The sequence below is a fragment of the Homo sapiens genome, chromosome 5, assembly GCF_000001405.40.
Source record: "Homo sapiens chromosome 5, GRCh38.p14 Primary Assembly".
In the NCBI taxonomy this organism is placed as follows: domain Eukaryota; kingdom Metazoa; phylum Chordata; class Mammalia; order Primates; family Hominidae; genus Homo; species Homo sapiens.
The window spans coordinates 11719087-11732472 of record NC_000005.10 but is presented as its reverse complement, the minus strand read 5'-3'; the positions used below and the strand labels follow the sequence as shown (position 1 = coordinate 11732472).

At 36.1% G+C, this 13386-nt stretch overlaps 1 protein-coding gene across 6 annotated transcripts in view; it reads left to right on the top strand.

Moving 5' to 3' along the window:
- CTNND2 (catenin delta 2) overlaps positions 1-13386 on the top strand; it is a 932611-nt gene that overhangs the window by 171974 nt on the left and 747251 nt on the right. For all 6 annotated transcript variants that reach the window (NR_109988.2, XM_017009074.2, XM_017009072.2 and 3 more), the window contains exon 2: positions 201-337. Coding sequence is in view for 4 of the 6 variants with exons in the window: in XM_017009074.2 (XP_016864563.1) it covers positions 201-337 (137 nt within the window). In the remaining 2 variants the exon portion in view is untranslated. The remainder of the gene's footprint in view (positions 1-200; positions 338-13386) is intronic.

Sequence of the window (13386 nt, the reverse complement as noted above, 5' to 3'; positions counted from 1 at the left end):
ATAAAAGAATAAAACATTCTGTTTACTTGTACTGTTACTTTACTTTACTGTATTACTCCCGTTCTATAATTATGTCTTGGTCTTTCTCAGCAGCTTATAGTTTTACTTTTTTTTCTGTGTGTATCTTCAAAGTGGTCTGATAGTTGTACCTGTTTAGTGTCAACATCTGATTGTATTGATCATGTCCTCTTGCCTTGCAGGAGCTATGCCTGTTCCAGACCAGCCTTCATCAGCCTCAGAGAAGACGAGTTCCCTGAGCCCCGGCTTAAACACCTCCAACGGGGATGGCTCTGAAACAGAAACCACCTCTGCCATCCTCGCCTCAGTCAAAGAACAGGTAGAAACATTCCCATTTTTGTGATATGCGTTTGGGGACATTTTAAAAATTGTTTTTCTAGATGAACGTTAAAGATTAAATTATGTTAAAAGAAACTCATACTCATGTAGCAGAGTGTTGGTATTTATTATATAAATAATATTGTAATATGGTTATAATTCCTTTTGACTCCATGTTTTGGGCAGCCTTCCTTGAAAAGATATTTTATAGGGGAAGAAAAACAACTTTATAATCAAAATTTCCTATGGGTGAAGTTTTGGCAGATTAATTGATGGACCTGACATTTAATACTATTAAACATACAAAGTGAAATAATTAGTCTTAGAAAAGATAAAATCTAATGAAAAATTAAAATATATCCGGGAGGTTAAAAATATATATGACAGTAAATGAATATCACATCAAAGTCAAGGCAAATTGGTTTTTCCAGTGTTTTCTGAGATGGATCTGGAAGGATGTAGTCTAAAATTTCCTTCTCGAACTAATGAAAGTCTGAACGATTCTTCCTCCAATGTTACTTTGCCAAAAAATGCATAAGTAAATAAAATCTGAACCTTAGATTTAAAACGTCACTTTATAAAAGTCATGTTTCTTGTAAATAAAAAAGTAGTAAATAAAGAGAGCTGGACGATCAAGATTCTTTTAGTTACTGCTTCTTCTAAACATGTGCTAGAAAGTATAACGGTTTTTAAAATTTTAAGTAAAAAAGCCTGCCGCGTTTGGGTTATGTGATTTGGTGATGCTGAATTGGCAACTTACCTGACTCCAGGAACATCTCAGCAGAGCGAGAGCCTAAAATGGGAGCAATTAAGAATAGTAACGCTATTCAAAAAGAAGAAGGGCTCTAGAGGAAACTGATTCTGTTTCATGAGTGGAAACTGATTTAGGTAAGAGTGGGAAACCACCTAAACAGTCAACCCACTGACCGAAGGGATCAATGATGCTATCAGTCAAAAGTGTGCCATCTGGTCAGGAAGTGTTCAGCTAAGTAGGTACTCAAGGGAGAGTTGAATAGATTGAGTGGATACTCTAGTTTGTGAAAATAGTCAGTAAGCAGGAAATTGGGTTGAGCTTTAGGCTGTGCTCCTTGATTAGTTTGCTTTCCAAAGCTCACTCTTGAGAGTTTTCTGATTATGTTTTAGGGGAAATGGAAAAAGGGACCACCAAGGGGGTTAATACCACTCCCCATCCTCAATACACTACCTTGTTATGGTTGGGTTATGTCGTGCTTTCTTATTCATGTGTGATCTGGAAGTCTTGCTAGGCTACTAACTTCTGAGTAGTAAGAAAATTTAAAGCAGAAAGAACAAATGTAACAAAAAGGCAAGACCTGTCTGCTGAAAATTGTTTTATCACAAGGACATAAAGTAATTCAGAATGAATAAAAAGGCATGGCATGCTCCTCTGTTGAAAAGCTTAGTATCATCACAATACTACTGTCTCCCAAATTAGGATATAAAATTTAGGCAGCTGTAATCAGAAGCCTGTGGCTGGTTGTTTGTTTCTTTGGCAAACTGGATCAAACTATTTTAAAGACCGGTGGAAGTATAAATATATGAGAATGCAAGGAAAGTTTTGAGAGATTTTATCTTACCAATCTTACCAATCACAGTAGTACCCAATGGGCCCAAAAAAGAATGGTCTCTGTGTAAAACATAACTGAGGGTTCAAAACAGATTCAAATATACATATATGCCTATTCACTTAAAGTTCGTGTTTCAATTCATTACAAAGAAGAGGCTTACGTGGTGTTGTCATAACTGACTCGACATCTGGAAGAAAATTAGAACTGTTAACTTACAGCATAAAGAGAAATAAATCTCACAGGGAAAAAAATGGTAACTGTAAAAATAAAACCATCAACATATTAGAAGAAACTCTGGGGAAGGAGCTTTGTAAACTAAAGGTAAGCAAAGTTTTAAACAAGAGAGGAAGTCCAGAAGCCATACATAAGTGGTCGATGAGTTTCACAATATGAATACTACTAGTAATAGCAAGACACAACTCAAAATAGCAAAGAAAAATAGTCCAAGAGAAAATATGTGCCACAAGTATAATAACATGTTGATAAAATTAATATATGAAGACTTCCTAATGTTGGTGAGAAAAAGAGAAATAAACGAATACAAAACTAGGCAAAAGATATAAACAGAAGAAAGATGCAAGCAAGTAATGAATGTTTAGAAATGTCCACTCTAATGCACCCATTGGGGACATACAATTTTAAGTGAAAATAAAACTAATTTTTAATCTACCAGGTAGACAGCTGTTGAAAAGTAGTTTATATTGTATGCTAGGTAAGAGTTAAGGCTTGGAGGAATCCACATTCTTTTTCACTCCAAATGGGAATATAAATTGCTATAATTTTTTGGTAAAATGATTTGTTTCTATGCATTGACATTTAAAATGTTCAATAACCATTGATTTAGTCATTTAGATATATATTCTGTAGAAATTAGTGACTAAATAGGTAAGATTTTATGTGTGTCGAAATTTATTATAAAATTATTTGAAATAGCCAAAAATACGGATGGCTTGGTGAAGAGTTGAAAATGTTATATTCTTTCTATAAATATTATGCAGTCATTAGTAAAAATGAGTTGGGGCTATATGTTTAATCTTTGGGGAAAAAATCCATGAGAATTTTAGAAAGGAAATTACATAGTATGGTATTATCCTGTTTTTAAAAACTCAGAACATTAGATATGTTTTTGGTTTATACATATTTATGAGCATCTAGAAAAGTATAGAAGGAAACAAATCAAACTATTAATATTGATTAGCATTTGTGTTTTACAGTTAGATGGAGGTGGAAACAGACTGAAGACATAGGGGATTTGGGTGGGGACACAGCCAAACTATATCACTGTGAAAAGTTTTTTTTCTGAGGAATTAAAAAATGTATTATTCATTTTGGGGCAGCAAAGATGACTTTTTTTTTTTTTGGTGGCACATAAGTAATTTGGGGAGGGATGCAAATGTGTTCTGGAAACTTGAGATAGAGAAGCCCCAGGTGCCCAAGTCAGAAGCTGGGAATTAGGTCCCACGTGCAGCATCTGCCTAGGTGAAAGCATAAATCAAAAAGCAGCAGATTCCATGAGCTTTTTGGGGATGTCCTGATGCAAACAACCAATCTTATCCTTCATTAGGGGATTTGTATCCTAAATCATTCTTAAAGGTTCCTTATTTTTTTCCTCAAGTCTAGAATATTATCTGTAGAGTGAAAGCTAAGTTGTTTCTTAAAATTTTTATCTGAATTGGCCTTCAAGTAGTTAGCAGTGGAGTTAAAAATATAAGACAACCATATGTAAAGAGTTTTAAAATAGAAAAAAATATAGATGAAAATTTCAGGAAACTCTTTAGTCAATATATTATCAAACCCCAGATGATTTTTACAGACTAAAAATAAACTTGAAATTGAGAGCATTTGTAACTCCAGATACTCTATTGTTACACTAATTTTCATTGTTCTTTTAGTTTCACAATCATTATAAACCGTATTCTTGATTTTAGAGGATTTTTTGAGTACCATTATTTAGGATATTGGTGATTCAAAGGTAGCAAAACAGACATTCTCTTCCTTTTAGTTTTTCTTATTGTACAAAATATAGGAAAGTAAGAGTAAGACATTTCTGTGGGTTTGTTTTGTTTTGTTTTTGAGATGGAGTGTCGCTCTGTCGCCCAGGCTAGAGTGCGGTGGTGCGATCTTGGCTCACCATAACCTCTTCCACCTCCACCTCCCAGGTTCAAGTGATTCTCCTGCCCCAGCCTCCTGAATAGCTGGGATTACAGGCATGCGCCACCACGCCTGGCTATTTTTTTTTTTTCAGTAGAGACAGGTTTCACCATGTTGGTCGAGCTGGTCTCAAACTCCTGACCTCATGACCCACCAGCCTCGGCCTCCCAAAGTGCTGGGATTACAGGCGTGAGCCACCGTGCCCAGCTGACATTTCTGGGCTTTCACTATGGGGCAAACCACGACACTGAGTACTTTATATATGTTGTGTCATATGAAGCCACAAGGAAGAATTTAAAAAGATTCATTTAAAATCTAAAGAAACTAGATCTTTTACATCATCTCTTGTGAGGATAGCATGCCTTCCTTTTTATTCAGCTTCTACATTTAGAATTTCAAAAGTAACTTAACTCTATATATAACAAGAATACTATTTGGAAGAAGTTCATTATAAAATACTCCCTTAATTAGTTTTCTTCCAGTGCCACATATCGTTGCTAAATCTTTCAGCATTATTGGTGTTACTATAATGTGCAACAATAATTTCTGATAACACAATGTGTTGTTAGGGAAATGACCTATAACTATTAATCAAATTTCGGATGGTATTTTGGGAAAGCATTTTATGAAATTAATGACAAAATTATCATCCAAGAAAAAGCAGAAGTTATAACACCTTAGGAAAGGTCAAGAAGATAGAGGATTATCTGCAAAGACCAGTGAAGTTTATATTCGTTTAGTCAGAGAAGGGAAGAATTATCCATAGCATAGTGCTACCAGTTGAACTTTCTCCACATATCAAAATTTAAGTGAGAATTACGTGATTGCTGAATTTTTATTTCTTGTTTCAAGCCAGGGTGGATTAGAAATGAAAAAAAAAGCATGCATTTCCTTTAACTTTTGTTGCAGAAACTCAGCTGTATTAGGAATAGTGATCATCTGTTTGAAGCTGTGAATTGAGAGATAAAGGTGCAAGCTAGGAGTCCGTGGAACTGGGTCATGACACATGATATGGTTTATAACAAGGAAGGGGGAGCAAGGATCAGAAAGCCTTGTGAGTTTCATACGTACAGGATGGAAGGATTGTAGATAGATTGACCAGATGGGGTGTTTAGAGTTCCAGGAGGGTAAAGAAAGAAAATGAGTGTGTATGTAAAGTTATGAAGTTCATGTATGAAGGAAAGGGATGCTCAGGTAGCATGAGATTGATGGGACCACCTGCATTTGAAGTGTATTTGTTTACTTGTTAACCCTGTGCATCAGAAAAATGATAAATAAAACTATAAATCAAGGAGAAACAAATCATAAACTACTTATTCAAGTCTTGGGAATGTGTGCTGGGAGTTCCAGTTATGGGTGAATAATTCTAGAACTCTGGATAGATCATCTCTGTCTCTCCACCCCTGCTTCCTGATGCTCTCTTATGTGTATTCTGTTAGTTACTCTAAGTTATTTTGACTTTTCCCCCTGAAACTTAATATTTTCCTTAGTTTCAGTTTATAACTCTTCTCAGGACACTTATATACCTATCTGTCCTTTTGATAATTTCAAACTCCATTCCAAGAATTAACTCATTTGATTGTTTTATGCTCTGTTCTATTTAATAGTGTTAGTTGTTGGGTTTACAGAGCACTGGAGCTATCAAGGGAAAAAAAGAGACTAGGGTGTTATATGCTAGATTAGAAAATAAGCCTTTAGTATGTGGGGTTTTGTAACATGACAATATAGTGCTTCTAACGCTTCTGTCATATTTATTACTACAACTCATTGTTAAATATTCATATGTAAAATCATACTGAATATGTAAAATGTGGTGTTTTAGTAATTTTTATGAATTTTCCACTATAAAGGCGTAATTCATGCATGTTGTGTAAAAGTTTAAAACATTAGATAGGAAAAATAAATGAATTGGGTTTTTTTTATTTTGAAAATTCACCACAAACAGAGGTAGCTGCAAATATTTAGGGAGATTTCCTTCCAGACTTTTTATATGAATATAAGATTATCTGTACAAAATTTTCATTTTGCTTTATAAATATTTTATTCTTCTTTGTACATTTAACCTTCTATGAGGAGTATTTTTTCATATCATTTAATATTATTTCAAACATGTTTCTAATGAGTATGTGATATAGATTCACTGTGAATTATTTAATATAATTGTATTTCACATTTTTACCTTTGTTGATCTTAGATTGATTCCATTTTCACAGTATGAAAAGAAGTGACATGTCACACTTCCTTGTACATTAATCATTGGGTCTGCTTTGACAGACACTGCCTGGAGCAAAGGTTTGAAAAAAAAAGATTCAAGACTCTTAAAAATTCGCTTGGAAAATATGTCATCATTAATTACTGAAAAGGGCCACTGGCAGGCCAACAAAGCAGGGGCTCCTGGGGTAAAATAGTCAGTGCGCTGTGCATGGTTTGCACAAAGCAAGAAATTAACCCATAGAATATTCTAGAGGAAGCTCATGGGAAAAATGTTGATTTTTTCAGAGAAATGGAACCAGATATAGTAGGAATAGTCAAGAAAAACACAGGAATTATTTTAGAGCAAGGAAACAATGTTCAATAGTATCTCAAAAACGTTTTTTAAAAAGAACAGACAATAAATTCCTTTAATTTACATATTTTTGTAAAACATGTATTTCTATAAAATGTACATGTGAAACATTTCCTCAGATATATAATTAAATCATATATTTTTCCTCTAATGATTATTTTGCTCAATATGTTTTATGATCAAGAAACTGAGACTTTATGTTTTACTTCAAATTCAGTGCTTTTCCCCCCCACTACACTACACAACCTCATCATTTAGATAAAATAATAGGCCTACAATGTGTTGTCTGATATTTTTCTGAAGAAAAATATTTTTCTATGACCAAGGTTTTGCTAAGGTCAAGTTAGATAGTATTCTCTGCCAGTCTCTTATTTAACGAGGAGAAGAGAATAGGGAAATTTATACATTAATTTGATCTGCAATATATTTAATTTGATCCGCAATGTATTTTTAAAAGGAATCACTAATAACCCAAATACAAATAATTTAAGGAACAACTATACCTTATTTTTTAGTTAATTGTATCTGTAGAGAAAATGTGACAGGAAGGGAATACTGTGGGTTAGACACATTCTTACTTTAGTTGAAAATTTCTGTTGCTGGGCATCAGTGGCCTGGACTGGAGTTATCTCTAGCATGCATCAGTGACACAGGTAAACATGCCTGAGGCAGCCCATCGATCATGTTCAAGTTGCTGTCACTGGGCTGCAATCATAAAACGCACGTGCAAGTTCATGCCCTGGGCTCTAAATGAGCTGGCTCTGTGGCCTCCCATGGAAAAGTGAAGATTAGCATCCTCCTTTTTCACTAAGGACAAGTTCTGACTTTCATATTCTACTCATAGCCTCAGGAAGCAGCTGGGCCACTTGCCTAATTACTGTGAGAAAGAACAACTCAATATCAATAAGGCAAAAAAAAAAATCACTTTTGACAGGTAATCTTCAACATCTAGGGAGACATTGCTAAATAGCTTCATTCCCCAAGTCAATAGATTTAGTCATTTGGGGATGCATTTTCGCAAGTTACACATCTTGGAGTGATAAAGAAATTATGCTCAAATTAAAAATTAAAATTACATAAAAGTCTAGTCCATAGTTTTTATAGGAAATCACAAACAATTCCACATATAGTTTTGACACTGCCGTATCTTCTATTCTGAAAAGTAGAACTCTGGGATATCAACCAAAGGTGTTTAAGTCTTTTATTTGATTCAGAACTTTTGAAATACCACTGTAGCACTGTTGGCCAGCACCCATGCCCACCACCTCCACAACAGAGGAGAAACCCTCCACCGAAATAGATAAGCTTGGAATCCAGCCCACCTATTAACAAAACAGCCACTTTTATTAAATTATTTTGTTAAATAATACCACACACTTGAGATACTGTTCAGAGACCTGAAATTGCCTAATAGAGACCTCCTGTCAAAAGCCAGAGGCAATTTATTCTTCAAATGAATCATCTAGAGTGTAAATCCTCTCACTTTTGAGAGCTCTGCTCATATTGAAAACAACACCTCATCCCTCCACTGGAATGCCCCCCAAGAACACGGCTTGAATAATGCTGCAGTGATTTGGTGACTCTGTCTTTATGGAGACCCAAGATAAGAAATTACCATACTAGGAGCTTTACTGGTTTGTTTACTGACATTGAAAACCTTTCAATAGTTAACTATAGTCAACTGATCTAATATAAATGAACCGTTTCAGTAATAGACATATTACTCTTACTACTGGTAATAATTAATAACTGCATAACTGTAATACTTTTTTTTTTTTTGAAATGAAGCCTTGCTCTGTCGCCCAGGCTGGAGTGCAGTGGTGTGATCTCAGCTCGCTGCAAGGTCCGCCTCCCGGGTTCACACCATTCTTCTGCCACAGCTCCCGAGCAGCTGGGACTACAGGTGCCCGCCACTACGCCCGGCTAATTTTTTGTATCTTTAGTAGAGACAGGGTTTCACTGTGCTAGCCAGGAATGTCTCGATCTCCTGACCTTGTAATCTGCCCACCTCGGCCTCCCAAACTGCTGGAATTACAGACATGAGCCACCACGCCCGGCCCAATAACTGTAATATTTTTCTAACTCTCACCTAAGCTTATTGGATGGGGATGTGGCCTTGTCTCCCCTCCTTACTGTTGGGTCACCAGCTCTTGGAGCAGTGCCAGCCATGGAGGAGGTGTTTAGTATATTTGTATTGAGAGTATGACTTAGGAATGAACTTACTGTCTTTTTCCATTTTATTTTAGCACAAAAGTAAATGCGTTGCTTAATTGTGGTAAAAGTCCTTAGTCACTTTTATGGTGCAGGGGTCTCATTTCCAGTGTTACATTGATCATATGCTTTTTCCCTTACTTTAATGGTTGTATTGGGTCTAGATCTTCCATTTGGGCTGCCTGCATATCGCTTCAGAATGTGCCCATTGACTGATGAATCCTAGGCCCCCAAATTGCAATTTTTTCTATAAACAACCTCAATCAAAACTCATTTAATCAGGTGGAATGAGATATTTTCAGTTTAATATGAGGCTTATTTACTCAACTATATCCTTCATTAATAAAATGTGTCTTTGTCTTTTTTTTTGAAACTAGACTGTGTACCTTGTTTTAGTTAAGAGGAAAAAAAACCTACCATATTAGTACATGAATCAGCAACTTTACACATAAAAAACATAAAAATACACTTAATTATTTTTGTTTGTATACAATTATGCCAAGTTTATCATATTTGTTGAAAATCTTCAGTGATTTTTAACTGCTGTTTGAAAGCATGCTGTTCCCCAGAGTCTCAGAAAAATCCAATTATTTGTTTTAGTGCTTATTTTGTATGCTTTTTGTGTTTGGGAGATTTTTCACATATTTGTGCTTGATGAAACTCTTGATGTTGTCATATTAAAATGTTTTAATCATTACAGATTTTGAAGTAATTTTTTGTGTTTACTATTTATTTTTATGTTTAATGGTGGCATGTCATATGTGTTTGATATGGTTTGGCTGTGTCCTCACCGAAATGTCATCTCAAATTGTAGTTCCCATAATCCCCATGTGTCATGGGAGGGACCTGGTAGGAGGTAATTGAGTCATGGGGGCAATTACCCTCCTGCTGTTGTTGTGATAGTGAGTGAGTTCTCACAAGATTTGATGGTTTTATAAGGGGCTTTCCGCCCCCACCTTTGGTCATTCTTCTCCTTCCTACCACCATGTGAAGAAGGACATGTTTGCTTCCCCTTCTACCATGATTGTAAGTTTTCTGAGGCCTCCCAGGCCCTGTGGAACTGGGAGTCAGTTAAACCTCTTTCGTTTATAAATTACCTAGTCTCAGGTATTTCTTCATAGCAGCATGAGAATGGACTTATACAGTGTTGTATATGAGTAGTTCTTTTATTGTTGGCACTTTTTTATTTTAGCACATTTCCTTTTGAGCACATTTGTGTAGATGGTTCCAAGAGAGACAAAAAGCATACTTACCTGCAACTGTGTAACCATTAATTTCAGTCTTCTCTTCAGTTTACGGGAAATAGAATCTTCATAGAAGAAAATGCTGGGAGGATTTGTGTTGAAAAATTTAAGTACTGTTATAGCAAATTCTTCATTCTTGTCCCTGGCTCATGTGAGGGTTTACTTTTCAGCATCTTCTTAGGAGAAAACTCTGTGAAAATGGTGTCTTAAAGCAGTCTATTATTGAAAGCTACCTCACTAAAATGTAAAATATGAATATATTTTTCATCAACACAGGAAGTGAGTAAATAGGTGGTTTTGTTAGAAATGTGGACCACAAATAAAGATTGCAGGAAGGCGAAGTAAACAGGGGAATTGTGACAATAAACTTAGCCTAAAACTCACTATGGTAAGTTGTCTTGTTTCAGAGTGCTAGATCACAATTTCCTATGTCTCCCATCCTTCTTGTGATGAGAATCTGATCCTCTCCCGTTGATAGACGAGCTCCATATTTCCTCTTCTTCATTCCAGTTAGGCTTAGGACTATGGTGGAAGGGAATGCATGTGACCAGGGCTACAGGGAAGTAGACCTCCTGCCTAGTTCTTCTGAGATGCTCATTCTTAGAAACCAGTCACCATGAGGTGAACATGCTCAAGACACTTGTAAAGAGGCCATGTGGACAGGCACGCAGTCTCCAGGCATGCAGCACCATCTGAACTCCTGGCTGATGCCAGCACTGACTTAGCAACCTTTCCAGTGAGCCATCAGCAGTGGAGCCCCGAGCCCCAGCTAATGCTGTGTGAAGCAGAGGCCATCTGTCCTCATTGATATTTGGAGATAGAGGACCAAAGCAGATGGTGGTTGTAATTTCAAGTCAGTAAATCTTGAGGTGGTTTGTTACACAGCAGTAGATAACCAATTCACTCATTTTTTCCATGTTTATAAAAAATCAGTCATGTTAGACCATTTTCTCTACTTCTAAGTCTTACGATTCTATGTAGCCTGGGGTGAATTTAAAAAAAAACAGCTTATTGAGATTTACTCACATACCATACTGTTCCCTTTTTTATGTGGTTTTGGTATAGTCACAGTCACTCCAGGAAACCACTATTATACTTTCTGCTTCTGCAGATTTTCTTATTCTGATTGTTTTATGTAAATGGAATTATAAATATATGGTCTTTTCTAAAGGGCTTATATTGCTTATCATAATGTTTCAAGTTTCATTCATGTTGTGGCATGCATCGGGATTTCATTACTTTTTACTGCCAAATAATATTCCACTGTATGGATACACCTCATTTCATTTATGCAGTCATTCATTGATGGCCATTTGGGTTGTGTTCACTTGTTGTCTATTGGGAATAGTGTTGCTGTGAATATTTGTGTACAAGTTTGTGTGGACATATGTTTTTATTTCCCTTGGGTAATAAAAACCTAAGAGTGGAAATGCTGGGTCACATGACAACACTAGGTTAACATTCTGAAGAACCGCCAGGCTGTTTCTGTATTTTATGAGGATTACAATATCTTCACATCCTTGCCAACACTTGATGTTTTCTGACTTTTTTGACTATAGGCAGAATAGTGAGCTGAGGTAACACTGAAATGAACTGCTAGACCAGAGCCTAAGAACATCAAAAAAATTCCATGGCAGACCAACAACACATTTTAAAATATGTAAATATTATATTTAAAAATATTAGCAATATATTTAGTCAGTAGACAAAATAAGCTCCCAAACATGAGTCGCGGCAGCATACCCACACCTGTGAAGAATATAGAAACCAAGTTACATATGTTGCAGGTGGGAAAATCAATGATGCTTGGCTTGCAAATTGTGGGTGGTCGGGTGAGACAGGAAGGGGGGCTGTAGGAGCTGTCTTCAAATATGGTTATGCAAAAGAAGAACCAAACTTTTGTTCAATAACTGTTGTACAACTGAGAAGAGCTTAGGATAAAGCGTCAAAATTTAGGAGAGGCAGGTCTCTGTCTTGTGCCAGATATGAATCTCAGTTACAAACTTGAGGAACTTTAAGCCTGAAAGGAATAACTCAAAGACTTAAGTAGCCCCCCATATATTTGGAAGGAACAAATAGGTTTGGGGTTTACATTGCTAGTGACAATGGCAAGTTTCACTGCAGATCTGCCTCTGGGATGTGTTCATAAGGTAGACTTTTTTTTAATGGAAAAAATGGTCTCAAAGATGCCAGCAAATGACAAATTTAGGGAAGTACTCTCAAGTACGGCCAGTTGCTGCTGTCTCTTTGGGAAATTCACTGACAAACAGTAATCAATGACAGACCTTTTGACCAGTGGGTGGCAGCACAGAGATGTACCATCGCTTGTCAGTAAATGTGCTGAGATGCAATTCTTTTTAGCCTGGGGTGTGGCTGGGTAAGCTCTTTGCACTGGCTTCGTCCATTGCCTTGCACAGCATGCTCAAAATATATTATCCTTTTCTAACTACCATATGAAACATAGGATACTAGGGTACGAAAAAAGTTGGAAAGGATCTGTGGTGTGTGTGTGTGTGTGTGTGTGTGTGTGTGTGTGTGTGTGTGTATATGTCAGAGCTACCCACAAATTCAAAGAGAGAAGTAGCGAAGTCCTAGATGTTAGAATTAAGCAAGGAGAATCTGAATGAATATCTGTGAGGGACTTAAATTAGAGTGAAGATTTAACTAAATGAACTAAGGTCTTCTCCAAATCATAGATGTTGTTAAACTCTGACATATAACTTGTTAGCTAGTAAAATCTACTTATTAGTATTTCATCGCTAAGGATAAATATTGCATATTATTTTTTAATCTTGACAACATTTAAATATAGTTTTGTTGTTGTTGTTCCTGCTAAGAATCTTTCCTCTGTGGTCTGAGATATCCATACTTTGTAAATATGTAGTATCTATAACAACAGACAATTTATTATGTAGCGTTAGGAACCATTGTCTCCACCACAAGTCTAGGTAAGGACTTGAGGTGGGACATCTGATTATCTTTGTTAATTAGGGGGAAAGTCACTCAGTACTACTGGGCTGTAATCTATTTTAAGGATAAGGTAATTTTCATGGCTTCTGCCATGACACAGAGTAAGCTACGTGACACTCGCTTCTGAAGGAGAAGTATGCCATCTTGTTTTAAGGACTGATTCATAAGTGGCCATAGAGTGTGGGCTAATATTCTGCATGATGGAAAAAGTGATACATTTGGAATCAGTAGACTTACTTCAGATTCCTCCAGCATTTTCTTACTGAACGGCCTTGGTTATGTAACATTTCTGAAACTGATTTTAATTATCTGATAAAATGAA